This window comes from Homo sapiens, chromosome 8 (assembly GCF_000001405.40).
Source record: "Homo sapiens chromosome 8, GRCh38.p14 Primary Assembly".
In the NCBI taxonomy this organism is placed as follows: Eukaryota; Metazoa; Chordata; class Mammalia; order Primates; family Hominidae; genus Homo; species Homo sapiens.
Window position 1 is genome coordinate 144,392,743 of NC_000008.11, and position 18,164 is coordinate 144,410,906.

Below are 18,164 nucleotides of genomic sequence, written 5' to 3' on the forward strand. Positions count from 1 at the left end.
GGGCTGACGCGGCGCTAACGCGGGTGTGTGCAGGGCTGTCCGGGGCTGGAGCCGCCTGGCGGGCGCCACGTATCGGGGTGTCTACGGCACCAGCCTCCTGCGCCACGCCAAGGTCGTCTGGGAGATGCTCAAGTTTGAAGTGGCGCTCAGGTGAGTGGCCGCGGGGCAGGTGGGTGGCGGGGGCCTGCTCCCCACCCACCTGTGACCTGTGACCTGACCCACGCAGGCTGGAGACCTTGGCCATGCGGCTGACCGCCCTCCTGGCTCGTGCTCTGGTCCACCTGAGCCTCGTGCCCCCAGCGGAGGAGCTCTACCAGTACCTGGAGACCTAGGGTGCAGCCGCCCAGGGCCGGCGGGGCCCTTTTCACCTTGGGCTGACGGAGGTGGCGGGGCTAGAGGTGTAGACACCCCGAGCCCCGTGGGCACTCGCACTGGGGGGCTGTGACAGCAGCTGGGCCAGGAGGCCGTGTAATGACCACACACTCCTCTCAAGCAAAAAATGTTTTTCCTTGTGTTTTGTACAAAAAGGGGGTGGGAGGTAGTTCCGTGTGCTGGTGGTGACGGCATCCACGGGGCTAGAAGTGGGCGGTGACGCGGTCCGTCTCCAGCAAGTCGTCCAGGATCTGCAGGGGATGGAAGGGTGGGTGGGTGGGTGGGTGGGGATGCACACGGAGGGGCGGGGCGCGCGGGGGGCGGGGCGCGCACTCACTATGTCTGGTGTGGTGCCGATCTTCTTGGCTAGCTCGCTGCGCTCCATGGTGCTCAGGTACAGGTAGCGGTTGAGCAGCTCCCCATCCAGCACGTTGCGCACGGCATTCTGGAGGGTGCGGCGGTCCACGTGCAGCATCCTGGGGCGTACAGGCACAGGTGTCAGGGCAGGCTGGGGTGGAGGGGGTGCTGCACGGGGGCGGGGCCGGGGCTCACCGGAAGGCGCGGGGGTTGAGGCCGGCGTGGTGTGGCAGCATGGTGGTCAGCGCGTTCTGCAGCATCAGCAGCCGCCGGTAGGTCTTCTCCTGCATGGGCAGCAGCAGCCCGATGCCGCCGTCCAGGGTGGCTGGCAGGGGTAGGGTGAGGGTTTTGGTGTGAGCCAGGCCAACCCTAGGGCCCCCCACCCAGACACACCTGCTCCCCCACACTCACCAAACCACGTGATGTGCTTATTCTCCCACACGACCGACTTTTTGCTGAGCCCTTCAGTGGCCCCCCGGCACGGGGTCCTCCAGAACGTGTTCACGTGGGCACCCACGTGGAAGTCTGCCCGACGCAGCAGGCGCATGCCCCCGAAACTCTCCTTGGCTAGACCAGAAAGGCCTAGGGGTCACTGCTAGCCCAGCCCCGGCCCAGGCAGAGGGGGTGGAGGAAGCACTCACCTTCGGGCAGGTACATGTACACCATGAGGTTGCGGTCGCGGTCAGACACTGGGGAGCAGAGGCCCAGGGTCAGCCCCGGCCACCCCCAGAGCCTCAGCTCCCCAGGGCCCTGCCCACATACCCAGAAAACCCAGCTGGGCATTGTCCACCATGAAGTCCACGCTGTACACCTCCAGGGGCTTGGCATCCTGGGGGCGGGAAGGGGGCGTCAGAGGTGCCTTGGGCGGGTACCCACCCAGACACGAGCACCGCCGCCACAGGTGTACCCGCGACACCAGGCTCAGCGTCTTGCTTTCCTCCTGGTAGCGCAGCAGCGAAATGCTCTTCATGACGTCGGCTGCCAGGATGAAGTTCTTGACGCTGATCATCTGGTGTATGTAGAGCTGCGTGTCGATGAAGGCCATGCCCGTCAGCTCGCTGGCCCGCAGGCTCCACAGGAAAATCTGGGGGCGAGGGCGAGGGTGAGCGGGCGCGGACGGGGAGCCGGGTGAGGGTGAGCCGGGGGACACACGCCGGGTGGGACTGGCACACCTTCTGGCCGATGGCCGACACCAGGTGGCCATTGCAGTGGCACAGGGCGGTCACGGGCCCCTTCTGCTCCTTCTCGTAAAGGACTTTGAACTTGTTCTTGGTCAAGGGCTGGCCAGGCTCGGGCACCACCTCAATCACATCCATGATCAAGATCTGGAGGGCATGGGTATGGCTGTGGGATGGCTGTGGGGATGGCAGAGGGGCTGCCAGTTCCCGCCCCCGCTCACTGGCCCCTTACCCGCCCTCGGCACGTGACCTCCTCCCCCTGCATGAGGCAGGTCCCGGCGGCCACGTAGCCTTTGAGGCCCGACACGGTCTCCTCACTGCGCAGAGACACTGTCTTCATGCAGGTCACATGCTCCCACTCCTGCAGCTCGATCCTGTGGGGGCCAGGGGCCTCAGGATGCTGCCTGGAGGCCTTGGGCAGACCCCACCCCCGCCGGCCCAGCCTCACCTGGCATTGGGAATAGCCTCCCAGCTGACCGGGGAGATGAGCTGGATGGAGAAGGCCTCCTGCTGGGGGTGGATGTACCGCTCATCTGTGGGGACCAAGGGTGACAGTCAGAGTAGGGCTTCCCCAAGATGCGGCTGAGGATGGGAGTATGGTGTGGGCGTCACCACCTCTCTCGATGGTCTCAAACTCCTTCTCCTCGCCAGTCATGCGTGGGATGCGGGCACACGGCGTGTTGGTGCTGGTGGCCACAGCATACACCTGTGGGTTAGTGAGGGTCACACACCAGTGGCCCGGCCAGGCCCAGAAGGTCCCTGGTGGGGTGGGGGTGGGGGCAGACCTTAGACTCCACGTGGTAAGCCACATAGTGGGCCGTGCAGCGCAGCGGGATCTTCCTGACAGGCCATGGGGCATCATAGGACAGGTAGGCAGGCAGGACACTGATCCTCAGCTCGCCCTGGGGTGGGGGCACAGGGGTCAGGGGATCCAGGGCTAGCCAAGGGCAGGGGCAGGCAGGCCCAGGCCGCCAAGAGCCCTGGGATGTTGCCCTCAGCTCTGTGGGAGCAGGGGTGGGTGAGGGGCAGCTGTGTCCTGGCGAGGTCCTGGAAGGGGCTGCCACTCAGCCTCTGGGGCTCCTCCTGTCCATTTTCCCACGCTCAGCTGGGGCTAGGGGTGCTGGCCACAGGGGATGGGAAAGCTAGGCCAGGAGGGCACTGGAGGCTGCAAAGGGCAGCCCACAGACTGCCATGCTGGGGACTGAAAACCAGGCAGAGGGAGCCAGGGCTGCCCTCTTTCATGGACAGTCCTGAGTCCTCAGGCACCCAGGAAGCACTCACCGCATCCCAGGCAGGGTCTCAAGTGACCTGGTGGTGTGGTGGCTTAAATAGGGAACCAGGATGAGAAAGCCTGTGTGCCCTCCCAAAGTCACAGAGCAGCCAAGGGGCAGAGCTAGCACTCACGTCAGCTCTCCTGAGAAGTGTGGAGGCCAGGCCCTGCGAGGGCTTGCCCGGCGAGCCGGCAGAGCAGTGGTGGGGACCCCAGGGGCTGCAGCCCCAGCTCCCAACCACCCCTTTCCAGACCTTTGGAGCAACCAAGTCACAGGTTCCACCTCCTCGACCTCAACCCCATCGCCCTCTGGACACTCCTTCCTGGTCCTCAGGGTGGAGCCAATGGTCCCTTCTCCTGTCCCCTCCCCCTCAGCCCCCAGCTGGGGCAGCATCAGCCAGTGCTGCTGGGAACCGGCCGGGCCCCACCTGTCTGTTGAAGTACAGGAAGCCGCGGGGACAGTTGACATTGTGGAATGGAGCGAAAGAGTCGACCGGGCCGTCGATGGCCATGGGGTGTAGCCGCAGAGCCCCTCGGCCGGTCACCAAGAGCCAGTGAGGGGAGGGGCCGCAGATGAAGACCTGGGGGCAGGCACCGTGAGGATGCTGTGGATGAGGATGCTGCGGATGAGGCCGCGTCTCCCTTCTACCACAGACCCCTGCAAAGGCGCTGGCCTACCCCTGAGTAGCCATAAATATCCTCGAAGTAGCGGAAACGCGCCACGCGGCCCCGGGCCCCAGCCCCCTCCTCTGCGCCGCCACCTTCTGCTTTCTTCTTGGATGGCTTTGGCTTCTTCTCACGGAAGTTGATGTTGTGAGGGACCTGGGGGGGAACCATGCAGGTCCTCCAGGGGCTGCCGGTCTGAAACCCACACCTTGTACCACACCCACCCCACGCCCCAGCAGTCCAGCCACTGGCACCTTCTTAAAGCGGACTTTGAGATTGCCCTGGCCGAGCTGAGAGTCGTGGGGGAAGGCCTCGTAGATAAGCAGCTCTTGGTCCACATGCACCTGGCAGGATGAGGGGAGCCATGGGGGAACGGGCAGGGCCATGGAGAACATGGGATGGGCCATGGGAAGAGGTGGGCTGTGGGTAAGGGGCGGGGCTGAGATGGGGTGGAGCCATGTATGGGAAGGGGCGGGGCTGTGAGGGAGATGGGGTGGAGCCACGGGAAGGGGCGGGGCCGTGGGGGAGATGGGGTGGAGCCACGGGAAGGGGCGGGGCTGTGGGGGAACGGGCAGGGCCAGGGGGAAGATGGGAAGGGGAGGCCAGGCCAGGCGCACTCACCAGCAGGTAGGGCCTGCTCTGGCGGCTGCCCAGCGCCACCAGCAGCACCTCCTTGACGAGGGGCAGCTCCCCCTGGCGCGTGGCCTCCTCCCTGCGGGCCTCGCCCTGTGTAGTGGGCTGTCCAAAGGAGCTGTCCACAAGGACCCGCTGCCCCACAGGGAAGTTCTTCACCAGGAACACCAGCCGCCAGTCGGGAAGCTGGTAGATCTGCAGGGTGGGCAGCAGTCAGTGGAGGCAGGTGGGTGGAACCCGCTGGGCCACAGTGCAGGGCACCACCTACCTCCATGGTGCCATTCTCCCGCACCAGCAGGCACCAGTGGGTAGGCTCTGCCCGGAAGGGTGCAGGGTCCCGGTCAGCAGGGGGCTGGCTGCTTCTTCGGGCCTCCTCCTTGCTGGGGCTGAAGAGGGAGCCCGAATCCCCATACAGCATCTCCTCCTCGTCATCCACTGTGGGGCTGGGGGCCAGCAGAAGGTCATGGGCGGCCTGCCAGCCCCAGGGACCCAAGCCCCTACCTGCGCCCCCAGCCCCCACGCACCTAGTCTCTGAGCCCAGGCCCTCGGCCTCCGGGCCACTGCGGCCCCCGAGCTCGTCACGGGCCCCACCCAGGCGGCTCTCAGTGGTGAACATGCCGCTGAGGTCTCGGTACAGGCACAGCGTAATCACCTTGGACTGCTGCGGGGAGAGGGGTGGGCTCAGCGGCGGGCAAGGGGCAGGGACAGGAGGGCGCCGGGAATGAGGGGGCCTACATGGTGCAGCGGGGGCTTGTGCAGCGCCAGGCGGTGGTGGCGGCCACCGTAGGAGTCACTCTTCAGCAGGAACATGGTGACGTGGCCCTCGGCACTCATGATGACCACATAGGGGTCGGCCACGGCGCACTGCACGATGGGGGCGCCCAGGTCCACGGGGATGAAGTGCAGCTGATTCACTGTAGGCATGGGGCAGTCAGCATGCGCCTCCCCACCACCGTCCCCACCCACCTACCTCCTTCCAGCAGGCGGATGCCCAGGGCCCAACCACCTCCCCCCCACCGTCCCCACCCACCTACCTCCTTCCAGCAGGCAGATGCCCAGGGCCCAACCACCCCCCCCACCTACCTCCTTCCAGCAGGCGGATGCCCAGTGGTGACACTTGGACAATGTAGCGGTTGTCCCCGATGTTCCCAGCAAAGACCGTGGGGCCCTGAGTGGCGAAGCCACTGGTGTCCAGCTCCATGATCTCCTGCCCCGTCTGCAGGATCTGCGGGCGACAGCTGTGAGGGAGGCGCCCCCCGCAGGGGACCCCAGCCCCAGGTCCCAGGTCCCAGGCCCTGCCCCTCACCATGGTGGAGTCTTCCCGGCTCAGAATCAGGAATCCGTGTCTGCGGCCGTCGTCGTCTGCTTCAGGGGTGGTGCTGGGTTCCTGCTCTGTGCCCTCCCCCTTGGGATTGTCCTCCTGTCAGGGCCAAAGGGGGGCAGGCTGGAAGCCACAGTCCAGTGAAGGCAGGCACGCAGGTGCGACCTGGGCACCCCCGGCCTATGAGAAGGCAGCGCCGGTCCCATCCCAGGGCCTCCCTGCAGCAGGCTCGCACCTACCTCCTCCTTACGCACCGGGGCGATGACTGTCCACATGTCATAGCAGCCGGGAAGCTCAAAGGTTGTCACCACCTGGGGCCGGATGCTCTTCTAGAATGATGATGGGGTGGGGGTGTGATGGGGGTGTGAGCCCACCCAGGTCCCACCAGGAGGCGCCCGCCCCCTACCTGCCCACACACCTGCAGCACCGACAAAGCCCCGTTCTTCCCGTGGCCGGAGCAAACCACAATCTCCAGGTCCGGCTCGGGGCTGTTCTGAAACTGCACAGGACTCGGGGGTGAGGACTATGCCCCCCACCCCCCCTCACACTCCAGCCCCTGCCCCCAGCCCCGACCCCAACCCTGGGCACCTCTTCAGAGAGGAAGGCAGGCTCGCCCACGGCGGCATTGGCACAGGGTCCAATGTTCAGGATGCTGTCACACACCTGCGGCACAGCAAGAGTCAGGGGCCCGCTGGGGGCGCTGGCTGGGACGGGGGCCCTGCTGCCTCAATCTCACCTCAAAGGAGTAGGTGGCCAGCTGTGTTCCCGACTGGGCCTCGCTGCCGTACACTTCAATCTCGTCCACCTCATCCTGCGGCACCGACTTACCCGCAGCTGCACACAGAGAGCCCACTTGAGCGCAGCCCTGGGTCACCTGGCCCCGCTCCTGACCAGCCCTGGACCGGCCCTCACCTGACCAGCCGGCCGTCGCATCCACTCGCTTCTTCTTTGAGGGAGGCTCTTCCTGTGAGGCAGGAGGGGCACTGAGTGGCATGCCACAGCAGTGCCCACATGAAGGGTGGTGGCCCAATGGGCCCAGGAAACCCACCTTGTCGGCAGCCTCACGGACAGCACTGGCCGGGGGCTCCTGCAGCTTCTCCGTGTACTTGAGGAGGAGGGAATTGCCCAGGCGAGAACCCAGGAACAGGTACCCGGGCTCCATGGTGACCATCTGAGGGAGGGCAGGTGTGTGATGGCTGGGCCGGGTCTGGACCCAGACCCAACCCCTAGTCCCAACTCACGCTGGTGGTGAGGACGCTGGCGGCCGCCTTGTCAAAGTGGAACGCTCGGACACTGCGCATGCCGTCGGTGATGAGGGTCAGCACGTAGCTGGGGGCAGGGAGAATTCTGAGTCGGGGATGGGGACCCTGGGGGAGTGAAGGGGGCCAGGGGACCCTACAGGACTTGTGGGGGGCGGTGTGGGCAGAGTTCATGGGCGGGGGAGGGGCTCACATCTCGCCGCCCTTGAGGGAGATGACCATCTTGTCGTAGGAGATGAAGGTGGCCTGGGCGCAGTCCAGGGTGATCCGCACACCCTCCTGGGTGCCTGTGGGGTGGGTGGTCAGGCCGACTAGGCAGGCCCAAGCCGTCCCCGGGCCCCCCCCGCCCCAGCCACCCCACACTCACGAAGCGGGAAAGCCGTGGTTCCTGTGGTGAGGCTGTTGAGAGCCACGCCATACGGGGGGACGCTCTGGTTCAGGTACAACAGCGAGTTGACGGCAAACACCACCACCCCACCTGGAGGTGGACACAGGCTGGTGGGCAGGCTCAGTGCTCTCTCCACACACTCCCCTATCCACTCCCAGGACACACACCTATGGGCTTGGGCACAGCCAGAGCCTGGGTGCAGTCAAAGGGCAGGCTGGTGAGGGACCAGATGACGGGGTGCACCTTCTGCGTGATGTTCAGTGAGATGGCCACAATGGAGCACGTGTCCTGCCGCACGGCCACGCGCCTGGGGACGCCAGTGGGTCAGCCAAGGGCCTTGCCTCCCCGCAGAGACCCAGGCCCAGCTCCTCCCGAGCAAGCCCCACCACACCCCATAGGCCCCGCCCTAAACCCCATGGGCCCCACCCCAGGCAGAGGCAGCTAGGGGGCCCACAGTGCAGAGGGGCCTCCTTAGGGGGCTCACCCAGGCCAGGTCTGGTTGGGCTCAAACAGGATGAGGAGGGTAGGCTCGTAGTAGCCATGCAGGAACTGCAGGTCGATGATGTTGAGCAGCTTCTCGTCTAGGGCCCGCACGTCGATGATGTAGCTGGGCAGGAAGCTGGACCTCTGCCTGGGGGGCCAGGGGCTTCAGCAGGAGAGGAGGGGAGGCGGGGAGGGGAGCTCGGGCTCTGGCGCCTCCCACCCCAGCACCACAGCCTGCCTCAGCTGGCACTCACCCCTCACCCACGAGCCCCTCGTGCTCCTCAGCCAGGCTCTCCCTGCGGAAGGGCAGGACCACCAGCCGCGTGCCGTAGACAAGCATGGCTGCACAGCGCCCGTCGGGGTCCACCCGCACTCGCGGCGTGTGTACATTCTGCACAAACCCGTCCTGGGGGCAGAGGGGGCATCAGCCAGGCCCAGCATAGGAGACCCCGAGGGAAACACTTGGGGCCACAGAACCCAGCTGCAGGGGGAGGGAGGGTGGCTGGGCGGGGCCTGGGCGGGGGCGGGAGCGCGGCCCTACCCGAAGCTCAGGCTCCTCAAAGTAGTGCAGTGACAGGGTCTTCAGGTCATGGGTGCCCGGGTCGTACTCCACCACAGACAGCTGCGGTCAGAGGGCACAGCCGTGGCTGCCGACTGCCGGTCCTGACAGTGTCGCCCCCGGCAACCAACGGCTGTACCCAGGCCCTGGCACCCACTCCCACGCCTTGGCCAGGCCTACCCCACCAAGCCTACCACTCACCTTGGCATCCTTGAAGCTTAGGAGCAGGGCATCCCGCTTGGCTCCTGCCAGCTGCACGCTGGCCATGGACATGACGTTGCCAAAGAAGGAGAAGGAGGCAGCAAGCTCGAGCTTCTCCCGGTGGGCCTTCCCCTCTAGGGGAGACACCAGGGCTCAGGGTCAGGGCCCAGCCATGCCTGGCACCCGCACAGCCCCAGGCCGCCCCACCACACTCACCTGTGCTCCTGTCATTCTTGGTCAGAGCCTGGAGGGGAGAGAAAGACAGGGCAGTGAGGGGCCACATCTGGCAGCTCACCTCATCCGGGGAACGAGAAAAGACCACCAAGCCTGGCCCCTGCCTCCTGGGAGCTCTGCCCAAACCCTCTCTGCAGCAGGGAGAAGGGCTTCTGGAGACAGCTGTGCACAGCCCCCCACAGCGACCCCCATTCACGCTCTCATGCCCACGGCCCAGCCCTGGCACAGGCCCCTCCCCAGGAAGCCCCTACCTCACGGCTCCCTAGCAGCCAGGCCCTGTGCGGCAAGCACTCAGGGTTAGAGTGCACTCTGTGTCTGCACACCCCCAAACCTGCCTGGTTGCACACCTACAGCAGCCCAGCCCCGGCCCCTGGGTCCAAATGTCACAGGGCAGGAAGCCAGAGCCAAGGGGTATCTGTAGCTACTGATCTGCGTGCCTGTTAGAGAAGAGGAAGCCCTGCGCTATCCTGACGCCTCGGGCTCCCCCAGGCTGCCTCTCTATCTCCTCCCTTTTCACTGCCCTCCCAGAATGATAAGAGGCTGTGTGTTCTTTGCTACTAGGTAGCTAGTTTAACTAGCTAGCAGATTTATATGCCATTGCCTCAAGGCAAGGGAAAAGTGGTTTTTGTTTTGTTTTTTTTTGTTTTTTGTTTTTTGTTTTTGAGACGGAGTCTCACTCTGTCACCCAGGCTGAAGTGCAGTGGCGTGATCTTGGCTCACTGCAACCTCTGCCTCCCGGGTTCAAGTGATTCTGCCTCAGCCTCCCAAGTAGCTGGGATTACAGGTGCGTGCCACCATGTCCGGCTAATTTTTGTATTTTTAGTAGAGACAGGGTTTCACCATGTTGGCCAGGCTGGTCTCGAACTCCTGACCTCAGGTGATCCGCCCACCTTAGCCTCCCAAAGTGCTGGGATTACAGGCGTGAGCCACCTCAAGGTCATTTTTCACGATGGACTTGTGCTATGGGGAGGGCATCTTGGAAGCTGGTTAAGAGATACAGAAGAAGCATCCACAAACCAATACCCATCTCACAGCGACAAGGGCAACTCCAGGGCTTCACCCGCAAATTCTACCAAAGGTTTCAGAAGTAATGACACACTTAAAAAAAAAACACACACCCACTCATGTGGGGCTGACGGCACCGCAGGTGGCTCAGGCCACCCCAACAGCCCACAGACAGGTGGGACAGGAAGTGACACCAACCTCCTCAAAACGCCTGCAGATGAGCCCAGTGACAAGCAGGGGTATTGTAACACAACTGGGTTGAGTTATTCCAGGAACGCAAAACTAGATTTCCGCAAGAACAGCCATCGCTAAACTTACCATGCTGTCAAAATTAAGGAGAAAAATCATGTCATTTTAGTGGATACAAAAAAAGCATCTGATAAAGGCATTCGTGATAAAAACTCCTAGTAAAGCAAAAATAGGAGGAAAATTTTTTTTTTTTTTTTGAGATGGAGTCTCACTTTGTTGCCCAGGCTGGAGTGCAATGGTGTGATTTTGGCTCACTGCAACCTCTGCCTTCCAGGTTCAAGCGATTCTCCTGTCTCAGCCTCCTCAGTAGCTGGGATTATAGGCGCCCACCACCACGTCCAGCTAATTTTTGTATTTTTAGTACAGACAGGGTTTTGCCATGGCCAGGCTGGTCTTCAACCCCTGACCTCAAGCGATACACTCACCTCGGCCTCTCAAAGCGCTGGGATTACAGGCATGAGCCACCACGCCAGGCCTTTGTTTTTTGACATAGGGCCTCACTGTCTCCCAGGTTGGAGTGCAGAGGAGCAATCATGTTTCACTGCAGCCTCGACCTCCTGGGCTTAGGTGATCCTCCCACCTCAGCCTCCTGAGTAGCTGGGACCACATGTGAGTCACCACACCTGACTAATTTATTTATTTTTTTAAATTTTGAGACAGAGTCTCACTCTGTCACCCAGGCTGGAGGGCAGTAGTGTGATCTCAGCTCCCTGCAACCTCTGCCTCCTGGGTTCAAGCAATTCTCCTGCCTCAGCCTCCCAAGTAGCTGGGATTACAGGCATGTGCTACCATGCCCGGCTATTTTTGTATTTTTAATAGATAGGGTTTTGCCATGTTGGCCAGGATGGTCTCGAACCCCTGACCTCAGGTGATCCACCCACCTTGGCCTCCCAAAGTGCAAGGATTATAGACATGAGCCACCGCGCCCAACTTCCTTAATCAAATAAAGGGTATCTACAAAAAGTCTACAGCAATGTGGTGCTGGGAGTGAAACATTACAAGTTTTCCCTTTTGAGGCCGGGCACAGTGGCTCACGCCTGTAATCCCAGCACTTTGGGAGGCCGAGGTGGGTGGATCACCTGAGGTAAGGAGTTCGAGACCAGTCTAGCCAACATGGTGACATAGTGAAATCCCGTCTCTACTAAAAATACAAAAATTAGCTGGGTGTGGTGGCAGGTGCCTGTAGTCCCAGCTACTCAGGAGGCTAAGGCAGGAGAATCGCTTGAATCCGGGAGGCGGAGGTTGCAGTGAGCCAAGATCATGCCATTGCACTCCAGCCTGGGGGACAAGAGAGAGACTTGGTCTCAAAAAAACAAACAAAAAAAGAAGTTTTCCCTCTTGGTCAGGACCAGCCAAGGACGCCTGATCCACTCTGCCAAGTATAAGGTCAATATACAGAGATCAACTGCACTTCTGTGTACATGCAAGAAACAGGGGTAACCACTCAGAAGAATTTTTTTTTTTTTTGAGACGGAGTCTTGCTCTGTCGCCAGGCTAGAGTGCAGTGGCACAATCTTGGCTTACTGCAAGCTCTGCCTCCCAGGTTCAAGCCATTCTCCTGCCTCAGCTTACCGAGTAGCTGGGACTACAAGCGCCCACCACCACGCCTAATTTTTTTTTTTTTTGTATTTTAGTAGACTCGGGGTTTCACCATCTTGGACAGGCTGGTCTTGAACTCCTGAGCTCAGGCAATCCACCCACCTCGGCCTGCCAAAGTGCTGGGATTACAGGCGTGAGCCACTGCGCCCGGCCACCACTCAGAAGGATTTTAAGAAAAATGTGTACATAGTCAAATGGTCTAACTGGCATGTTGGGGGAAAGGGGACAGAATCAATAGCTAAAGAAATAGCGACCAAAGGCTGGGCGTGGTGGCTCACGCCTGTAATCCCAGCACTTTGGGAGGCTGAGGCAAGCGGATCACGGGGTCAGGCGATCGAGACCATCCTGGCTAACACGGTGAAACCCCGTCTCTACTAAAAATACAAAAACATTAGTCGGGCGCCTGTAGTCCCAGCTACTCAGGAGGCTGAGGCAGGGGAATCGCTTGAACCCAGGAGGTGGAGCTTGCAGTGAGCCGAGATTGTGCCACTGCACTCCAGCCTGGGTGATAGAGCGAGACTCCGTCTAAAAAAAAAAAGAGAAAGAAAGAAAGAAAAAAAAACCTTGAAAATCTGAATAAGAGGACGTTTACAGGGTTTCAAAATAAGTCCCTACAAGATACTTTTAGTTACAAAAGGAAGAAATAACCTTACAGTGGGGGAATCCAGGCCAACACTACCCAACCAAGCATCAAAGCATCAGCATCCAGTCATGAGGCAAAGGCCTCCGCCGCCTCCTGAAAGCTGATGGGGCTGCTGTTTGCCTCTTCTGTGGTGTTCCTGTCAAAAATACAAATGTCTCATCTAAACACCTGGGAATGTCTTGGCCGGGCTCCGTGGCTCACACCTGTAATCCCAGCACTTTGGAAGGCCAAGGCGGGTGGATCACTTGAGGTCAGGAGTTCGAGACCAGCCTGGCCAACATGGTGAAACCCCATCTCTACCAAAAATACAAAAAATTAGCTGGGTGTGGTGGCAGGCGCCTGTAATCCCAGCTACTCGGGAGGTTGAGGCAGGAGAACTGCTTGAACCCGGGAGGCAGAGGTTGCAGTGAGCTGAGATCGCACTGTTGCACTCTATCCTGGGTGACAGAGGGAGACTCTCTCTCAAAAAAGAAAAAAAAAAGACAGCTGTATGAAAGGTGGCTGTCTCCCTCCCTCTCCAGGTGAATCTGGGCTGGAGGCTGCCTTTAGGGCAGACTGTGGTGGCAGGGACGGTGCCCTCCTGGTCTAGCCCTTAAAGTGACTGGCAGCTTCTGCCTTAGCCTCCTAGGGCTCTGAGTTCCTGCAAGAAGCTCAACTACACCAACACCACCATGCTGCCAGGAAAACCAAGCTAGCCATGCTGGGGACAGGGGAGAGTGGAGGGACGGTGTGGGGGTAGGGGAAGACACATCTAGCCTGTCCCCAGCTCTTCAAGTCATCCCTGTCAAGGCTTGCCCTGGTGGAGGAGAGCCAAGGGCTCCCCACACTCTGATGAATCCCTGAAAACCTGGCTTCCAGGTCTGCGATTATGATAAAAGACCTCGTTTGCATATTCCAGGGCAGTTAGTTACAGAGCCACGACTAGACTGACCCCAGGAGGATGGCTTGAGCACAGGAGTTCGAGGCCAGCCTGGACAACATAGCAAGACCCCGTTTCTTAAAAACAAAAAACAAAACAGAAGAAGAAAACCTCTTTTCCTGCTATTTATGGCTCCATTTCTTGCTTCAGTTTACGCACATCTCCTCCAGAGTTGTCTGTGTTCACTGTTACTGACTCTCCTCCCCTGCTGGGCTCTTACCCCTGCTCCATTCAGACCACAACCCCTCGTGCCCACCAGACTGCCCTGTCAGTCACCAGGCATCACCTGAGGCTCAACAGCGTGGGACCCAGTGTCGAGTCCCTCCCAGCTGCCTTCCCTGGGCCTCCAGGGCCCTGTCCAGCTTTCCCCCTGCCTTCCAGGCCATGCCACCTCCAGCTCTTTCATGGCCTCTCATCTCCCCAATCTCTCAATGTTGGGGTGCCCCAAGACCCTGTCTTTGTCTATATTCTGGGTGATCTCAACCAGTTTCCAAGGGCAGACACCAACCCCAGGCTGAAGACTCTGACTTGACCTCCATACCAGACCTCAATCCTCAATTCTAGACTCTTGCACACACCCTCCTGCTCTGCACTGCTGCCTGATGTGGAATGAGCACCTCGGCCAACCTACGGTGGCCAGCGTCCAAGGCAGCACAACGCTTCCTGCTCTGCACTGCTACCTGATGTGGAATGAGCACCTCAGCCAATCTACGGTGGCCAGCATCCAAGGCAGCACAATGTCCTCTGCAGTGAATGCTGGGAGGTGTTGCACCCTCCGCAACCCCCACCAGGGTTGGTAGATATGACCAGCAGAATATGACAGAAGGTTAACAGTGTATTACTACTACTTTTTTTTTTTAGATGGAGTTTTGCTCTGTCACCCAGGCTGGAGTGGAGTGCAATCTCGGCTCACTGCAACCTCCGCCTACGGGTTCAAGCAATTCTCCTGCCTCAGCCTCCTGAGTAGCTGGGATTACAGATGCCTGCCACCACACCCAGCTAATTTTTGTATTTTTAGTAGACACAGGGTTTTGCCACGTTGGCCAGACTGGTCTCGAACCCATGACCTCAGGTGATCTACTACCTGCCTCGGCCTCCCAAAGCGCTAAGATGATAGGTGTGAGCCAACGTGCCTGGCCTTTTTTTTTTTTTTTTGAGATAGGGTCTCACTCTGTTGTCCAGGCTGGAGTGTAATGGTGCAATTATAGCTCACTGCAGCCTTGACCTCCTGGGCTTGAGCGATCCTCCCACCCTGGCCTCCCATGTAGCTAGGACTACACACAGGCCACTATGCCCAGCTAACTTTTATATTTTATATTTGGGCCAAGCACAGTGGTGCACTCCTGTAATCCCAGCACTTTGGAAGGCCAAGGTGAGTGGACTGCCTGAGCTCAGGAGTTTGAGACCAGCCTGGCCAATGTGGCGAAACCCTGTCTCTATTAAAAATACAAAAAAAAAATTAGCCGGGCGTGGTGTCACACACCTGTAATCCCAGCTACTTGGTGGAGGGTTTAGGGAGCTGAGGCACAAGAATTGCCTGAACCCACGAGGCGGAGGTTAAAGTTAGCTGAGATCACACCACTTCATTCCAGCCTGAGTGACACAGCAAGACTCCGTCTCACCAGGAAAAACAAAAAAAAAAATTATTTGTAGAGATGGGGTCTTGCTATGTTGCTCAGGCCAGTCCTGAACTCCTGGCCTCAAGCAGTCATCCCACTTCAGCCTCCCAAAGTGTGGGACTATAGGTGTGAGCCAGTGCACCCAGCCTGAGATTCGGTTACAGGACTCGCCGTGGCTTCAGTCTTGGTGGGTGTCTCATTGTGAGGGAGGCTGCCATGTTGTGAGCTGCCCCAGGGAGGGGCCCATGTGGTGAGGAACTGCGGCCTCCTGCCAATAGTGTGTTAGGAGCAGAAACTCCAGCCCTCGTCAAGCCTTCAGAGGACAGGAGCCCTGGCCAGCAAATACATATGTATGCCGGGGTAGGTGCCCAGGAGGGTTGGCCTCCTTTGGCCTGAGCTTCTGACCCATCTGCCTGCTGGGTCAGCCCCTATTCACAACCCTCTTGTGGCTCCTCCCTGCTTTGTGGAGAATAGTCCTGACCACGGCCTACCTCCCTCCATCCCCACCACCACATCCAGTCTATACCACGGCCACACTGTGCATGTCTCTCCACCCTCAACTGCTTTGGGCCTGTGCACAGGCTGTTTCTTCTGCCTGGAACACCCTCCTCTCACCATCCCTGGGCCTGGGTAAGAGGTACTCCTCCCTTCAAGAGCAATGGAGAAACTGCCTCTTGCAAGTTGCTTTCCTGGACCAGCTTTCAACCCTCCGGCAACCAAAACACCACTGTATTTCCCAAACCCTTGAGGCGTGTGCCCCACTGTACCAAGACTCCTGTCAACAGTCTGTCCCCATCCTAGACCTGGCCTTGTTCCTTGTGCTACCAATGTCCTTCCCCCGACAAACTCCCGCTCTGCCTCAGACAGGCTCTTCTGATCATGCGACTGGAAATACACAGTCTCCTTCCTTCACTCCTTTATTCCCGCAGCAGCACTTGCTGCAGGGGCAGGTGTGTTTATTTAGATGTTCCCCTTCCCCAAGTGTCTGCAGGTGTGGTTCACATGGTATCTCTGCTACCCAGCGCACAGTGGGCGTTCGCTCCTTCCGAACAACTTGCTGAAAAAACGGAAGAGCAAACAAGACGGCTAGGGCAGCGCGCCCTTCCCGGTGGGGTAGGAAGGGAGGCAGAACAGGGTAGCAGCTGTGAGAAAGGATCTGAGCACAAGAGATTCAGGGTCATGTCCTGGCTCCTCAGGCTGAGGAACGTTAAGCAAATCACTCAACTTGTCTGGGGCTTGGCTCTTCCATCTGCAACCGGGGGCGGTGAGAGCACCCACGTCGCGGACAGCCGGGAGGGCTCCCAGGGCCCGACCTACCTCGGCGTCGCGGTTGAGGCGGTACACGTAGAGCTGCGAGGTCCCGGCCACTACCAGGTTGCGCTCGCTGTTGTTGAAGAAGTTGCAGTACATGGAGAACTCCAGACCGGTGGGCGGATGCGCCTGTTTGTACACGGCGTACATGGCGCCAACCCGGGCTGCGCAAGGCCGGGAGAGGAAGGGTGAGCGGGGTCGCCCACGCAGGAGCCCGGCCCCGCACCGCGCCCCTCCCCGGCCTCGCGCTGCCGCCTCGGCCGCCCGCCCGGCCGCCCACCTGGCAGTTGGAGCCGACTCGAGAGGAACCGGGACAGCAGCGAACTCAGTCCGGCCGGGCCCAGAAGCTGGGCGGGAAGGTTCCGGGCTTCTGCGCCTGCGCAGCGCCGCCGCGTGAGCGTGGCTGCAGGGGCGACAGCGGGCCCTAGTGGCCCGGGATGCGGGCGGCTGGCGGCTCGGCTCCGGGCTGGGCGTCCGGAACCCAAACCCCTAGCGCGCGAAGTGCGGGGCCTCCGCTGCGGGCGGAGCAGCGCGGGTTGGAAGCCGCAGGGGCGCCGGCTGCAGCGGCTCGGGGTCGGCCGGGGGGTGCGTCCGCGCCAGACCCAGGACGGCTGCAGGGAGAAGCGACTCCGCTCGTAGCTCCCGGGTTCAGGGGGCGCGCCGGAATCCAGAAGAGGGGGCGCGGCGCCTCGCCAGTGTCTGGGGCTCCGAGAAAGCTTCCTAGAGAGGCCGCACGCCCCCTCTGCCCAGTGTCCCCGCGCAGAGCGACCCCCGCCGCCAACACTCCCGCGGAGGACGCAGGACCCCGCGAGCCCAGCGCTGTCCGCCCGCCTTGCTCACTGCTGCCTACCCAGGGCGGGCCCAGTGCCAGCTTCCGGGAGCTTGGATCCTGGATCAGGCACGGGCCTAGGACCTAGAAACGGAATCATGAGAAATAAAACAAGAAAGTATCGTTACGCCCAAGAAAATGGCGTGGAAATATGTGTTTTTGTTGCATCCAAATCTACTTGCTCATTGGGCAGTGGGGGAAGGGCCACTTGGATGCTCAGGCGTGTGACCCCTGAGCCACACTCAACCGCCTTTTAAAAGTCAATAGGAGGCGGTGGCTCACGCCTGTAATCCCACTTTGGAAGGCCGAGGTGGGCGGATCACCTGAGGTCAGGAGTTCGAGACCAGCCTGGCCAACATGGTGAAACCCAGTCTCTACTAAAAATACAAAAACTGTGGGGGAAAGAGAGAGAGATCAGATTGTTACTGTGTCTATGTAGAAAAGGAAGACATAAGAAACTCCATTTTGATCTGTACTAAGAAAAATTGTTTTTGCTTTGAGATGCTGTTAACCTGTAACTTTAGCCCCAACCCTGTGCTCACAGAAACATGTGCTGTAATGAATCAAAGTTTAATGGATTTAGGGCTATGCAGGATGTGCCTTGTTAATATGTTTGTAGGCAGTATGCTTGGTAAAAGTTATCGCCATTCTTCATTCTCGATTAACCAGGGACACAATGCACTGCGGGAAGCCGCAGGGACCTCTGCCCAAGAAAGCCTGGGAATTGTCCAAGGTTTCCCCCCACTGAGACAGCCTGAGATATGGCCTCATGGGAAAGGAAAGACCTTACCGTCCCCCAGCCCAACACCTATAAAGGGTCTGTGCTGAGGAGTCGTAAAGAGGGAGGCCTCTTTGCAGTTGAGATAAGAGGAAGCCTTCTGTCTCCTGCTCGTCTTTGGGAATGGAATGTCTCATTGTAAAGCCAACCATTCCCTTTTGTTCTATTCTGAGATAGGAGAAAACTGCCTGGAAGCAAGAATGCTGGCAGCAATACTGCTCTGTTACTCTTTCCTACACTGAGATGTTTGGGTAAAGAGAAACATAAATCTAGCGCTGCTGCTCTGTTACT

At 60.0% G+C, this 18,164-nt stretch overlaps 2 protein-coding genes and 3 non-coding genes across 16 annotated transcripts in view, besides 4 other annotated features; 1 reads left to right on the forward strand and 4 right to left on the reverse strand.

The window, feature by feature from the left end:
* The window catches only part of ADCK5 (aarF domain containing kinase 5), a 20,155-nt gene extending 19,655 nt beyond the window's left edge, over window positions 1-500 (forward strand). For all 6 annotated transcript variants that reach the window (XM_017013174.2, NM_174922.5, XM_011516907.4 and 3 more), the window contains 2 exons: window positions 34-150; window positions 227-500. In XM_017013174.2, coding sequence (XP_016868663.1) covers window positions 34-150; window positions 227-332 — 223 coding nt within the window. In that variant the 3' untranslated portion in view covers window positions 333-500. The remainder of the gene's footprint in view (window positions 1-33; window positions 151-226) is intronic.
* On the reverse strand, window positions 489-16,593 carry CPSF1 (cleavage and polyadenylation specific factor 1). Of its 7 annotated transcripts, XM_047421733.1 has the most exons (39): window positions 16,273-16,456; window positions 13,088-13,091; window positions 10,125-10,137; window positions 8,904-8,931; window positions 8,688-8,821; window positions 8,469-8,549; window positions 8,182-8,333; window positions 7,929-8,075; window positions 7,612-7,751; window positions 7,424-7,534; window positions 7,250-7,343; window positions 7,039-7,126; window positions 6,846-6,968; window positions 6,710-6,761; window positions 6,534-6,631; window positions 6,386-6,460; window positions 6,216-6,296; window positions 6,037-6,126; window positions 5,783-5,896; window positions 5,560-5,701; window positions 5,212-5,390; window positions 5,001-5,137; window positions 4,745-4,919; window positions 4,465-4,671; window positions 4,098-4,187; window positions 3,856-3,999; window positions 3,606-3,758; window positions 2,693-2,809; window positions 2,523-2,613; window positions 2,356-2,440; window positions 2,140-2,281; window positions 1,902-2,054; window positions 1,637-1,813; window positions 1,492-1,558; window positions 1,371-1,418; window positions 1,141-1,296; window positions 925-1,054; window positions 710-848; window positions 489-623 (listed from the first exon to the last, which is right to left on the reverse strand). In XM_047421733.1, the coding sequence occupies exons 5-39, from the start codon at window positions 8,757-8,759 to the stop codon at window positions 576-578; spliced, it is 4,098 nt and encodes a 1,365-aa protein (XP_047277689.1). In that variant the 5' UTR covers window positions 8,760-8,821; window positions 8,904-8,931; window positions 10,125-10,137; window positions 13,088-13,091; window positions 16,273-16,456; the 3' UTR covers window positions 489-575. The 7 variants fall into 7 exon arrangements, with proteins under 7 accessions (XP_047277689.1, XP_006716611.1, NP_037423.2 ...); XM_006716548.3 differs by lacking the exons at window positions 10,125-10,137; window positions 13,088-13,091 and adding an exon at window positions 16,547-16,593 and having other exon boundaries at window positions 1,646-1,813; window positions 16,273-16,430; NM_013291.3 differs by lacking the exons at window positions 10,125-10,137; window positions 13,088-13,091 and adding an exon at window positions 16,547-16,593 and having other exon boundaries at window positions 16,273-16,430.
* MIR939 (microRNA 939) lies at window positions 1,407-1,488 on the reverse strand. Its single transcript, NR_030635.1, has one exon. It is a non-coding gene; the product is annotated as a microRNA 939 (primary transcript).
* Window positions 1,439-1,600: a silencer, noted in NCBI's record as "fragment chr8:145619396-145619557 (GRCh37/hg19 assembly coordinates)". NCBI's record gives its function as "represses an EF-1alpha promoter that drives an FKBP-Casp9 reporter gene in an ReSE screen in phorbol 12-myristate 13-acetate-treated (for megakaryocytic differentiation) K562 erythroleukemia cells {active_cell/tissue: K562(+PMA)}" and the evidence as "EXISTENCE:reporter gene assay evidence [ECO:0000049][PMID:32094911]".
* Window positions 2,953-3,166: a silencer, noted in NCBI's record as "fragment chr8:145620910-145621123 (GRCh37/hg19 assembly coordinates)". NCBI's record gives its function as "represses an EF-1alpha promoter that drives an FKBP-Casp9 reporter gene in an ReSE screen in HepG2 liver carcinoma cells {active_cell/tissue: HepG2}" and the evidence as "EXISTENCE:reporter gene assay evidence [ECO:0000049][PMID:32094911]".
* On the reverse strand, window positions 7,344-7,423 carry MIR1234 (microRNA 1234). Its single transcript, NR_031600.2, has one exon. It is a non-coding gene; the product is annotated as a microRNA 1234 (primary transcript).
* MIR6849 (microRNA 6849) lies at window positions 7,535-7,603 on the reverse strand. The gene has a single exon (NR_106908.1). It is a non-coding gene; the product is annotated as a microRNA 6849 (primary transcript).
* Window positions 16,080-16,129: an enhancer, noted in NCBI's record as "active region_28097". NCBI's record gives its function as "activates an Ori minimal core promoter by ATAC-STARR-seq in GM12878 lymphoblastoid cells {active_cell/tissue: GM12878}" and the evidence as "EXISTENCE:reporter gene assay evidence [ECO:0000049][PMID:35858748]".
* Window positions 16,400-17,059: a silencer, noted in NCBI's record as "silent region_19681". NCBI's record gives its function as "represses an Ori minimal core promoter by ATAC-STARR-seq in GM12878 lymphoblastoid cells {active_cell/tissue: GM12878}" and the evidence as "EXISTENCE:reporter gene assay evidence [ECO:0000049][PMID:35858748]".

Bases quoted from the DNA above. Each gene is read 5' to 3' on its own strand.
- CPSF1 (NM_013291.3), bottom strand. From the start codon at position 16,416: ATGTACGCCGTGTACAAACAGGCGCATCCGCCCACCGGTCTGGAGTTC. The intron at 8,822-8,903 runs GTGAGTGTGGTG...TGTCTCCCCTAG, and splicing joins CAAGAATGACAGGAGCACAG to AGGGGAAGGCCCACCGGGAG. The intron at 8,334-8,468 runs GTAGGGCCGCGC...CTCTGCCCCCAG, and splicing joins TTGAGGAGCCTGAGCTTCGG to GACGGGTTTGTGCAGAATGT.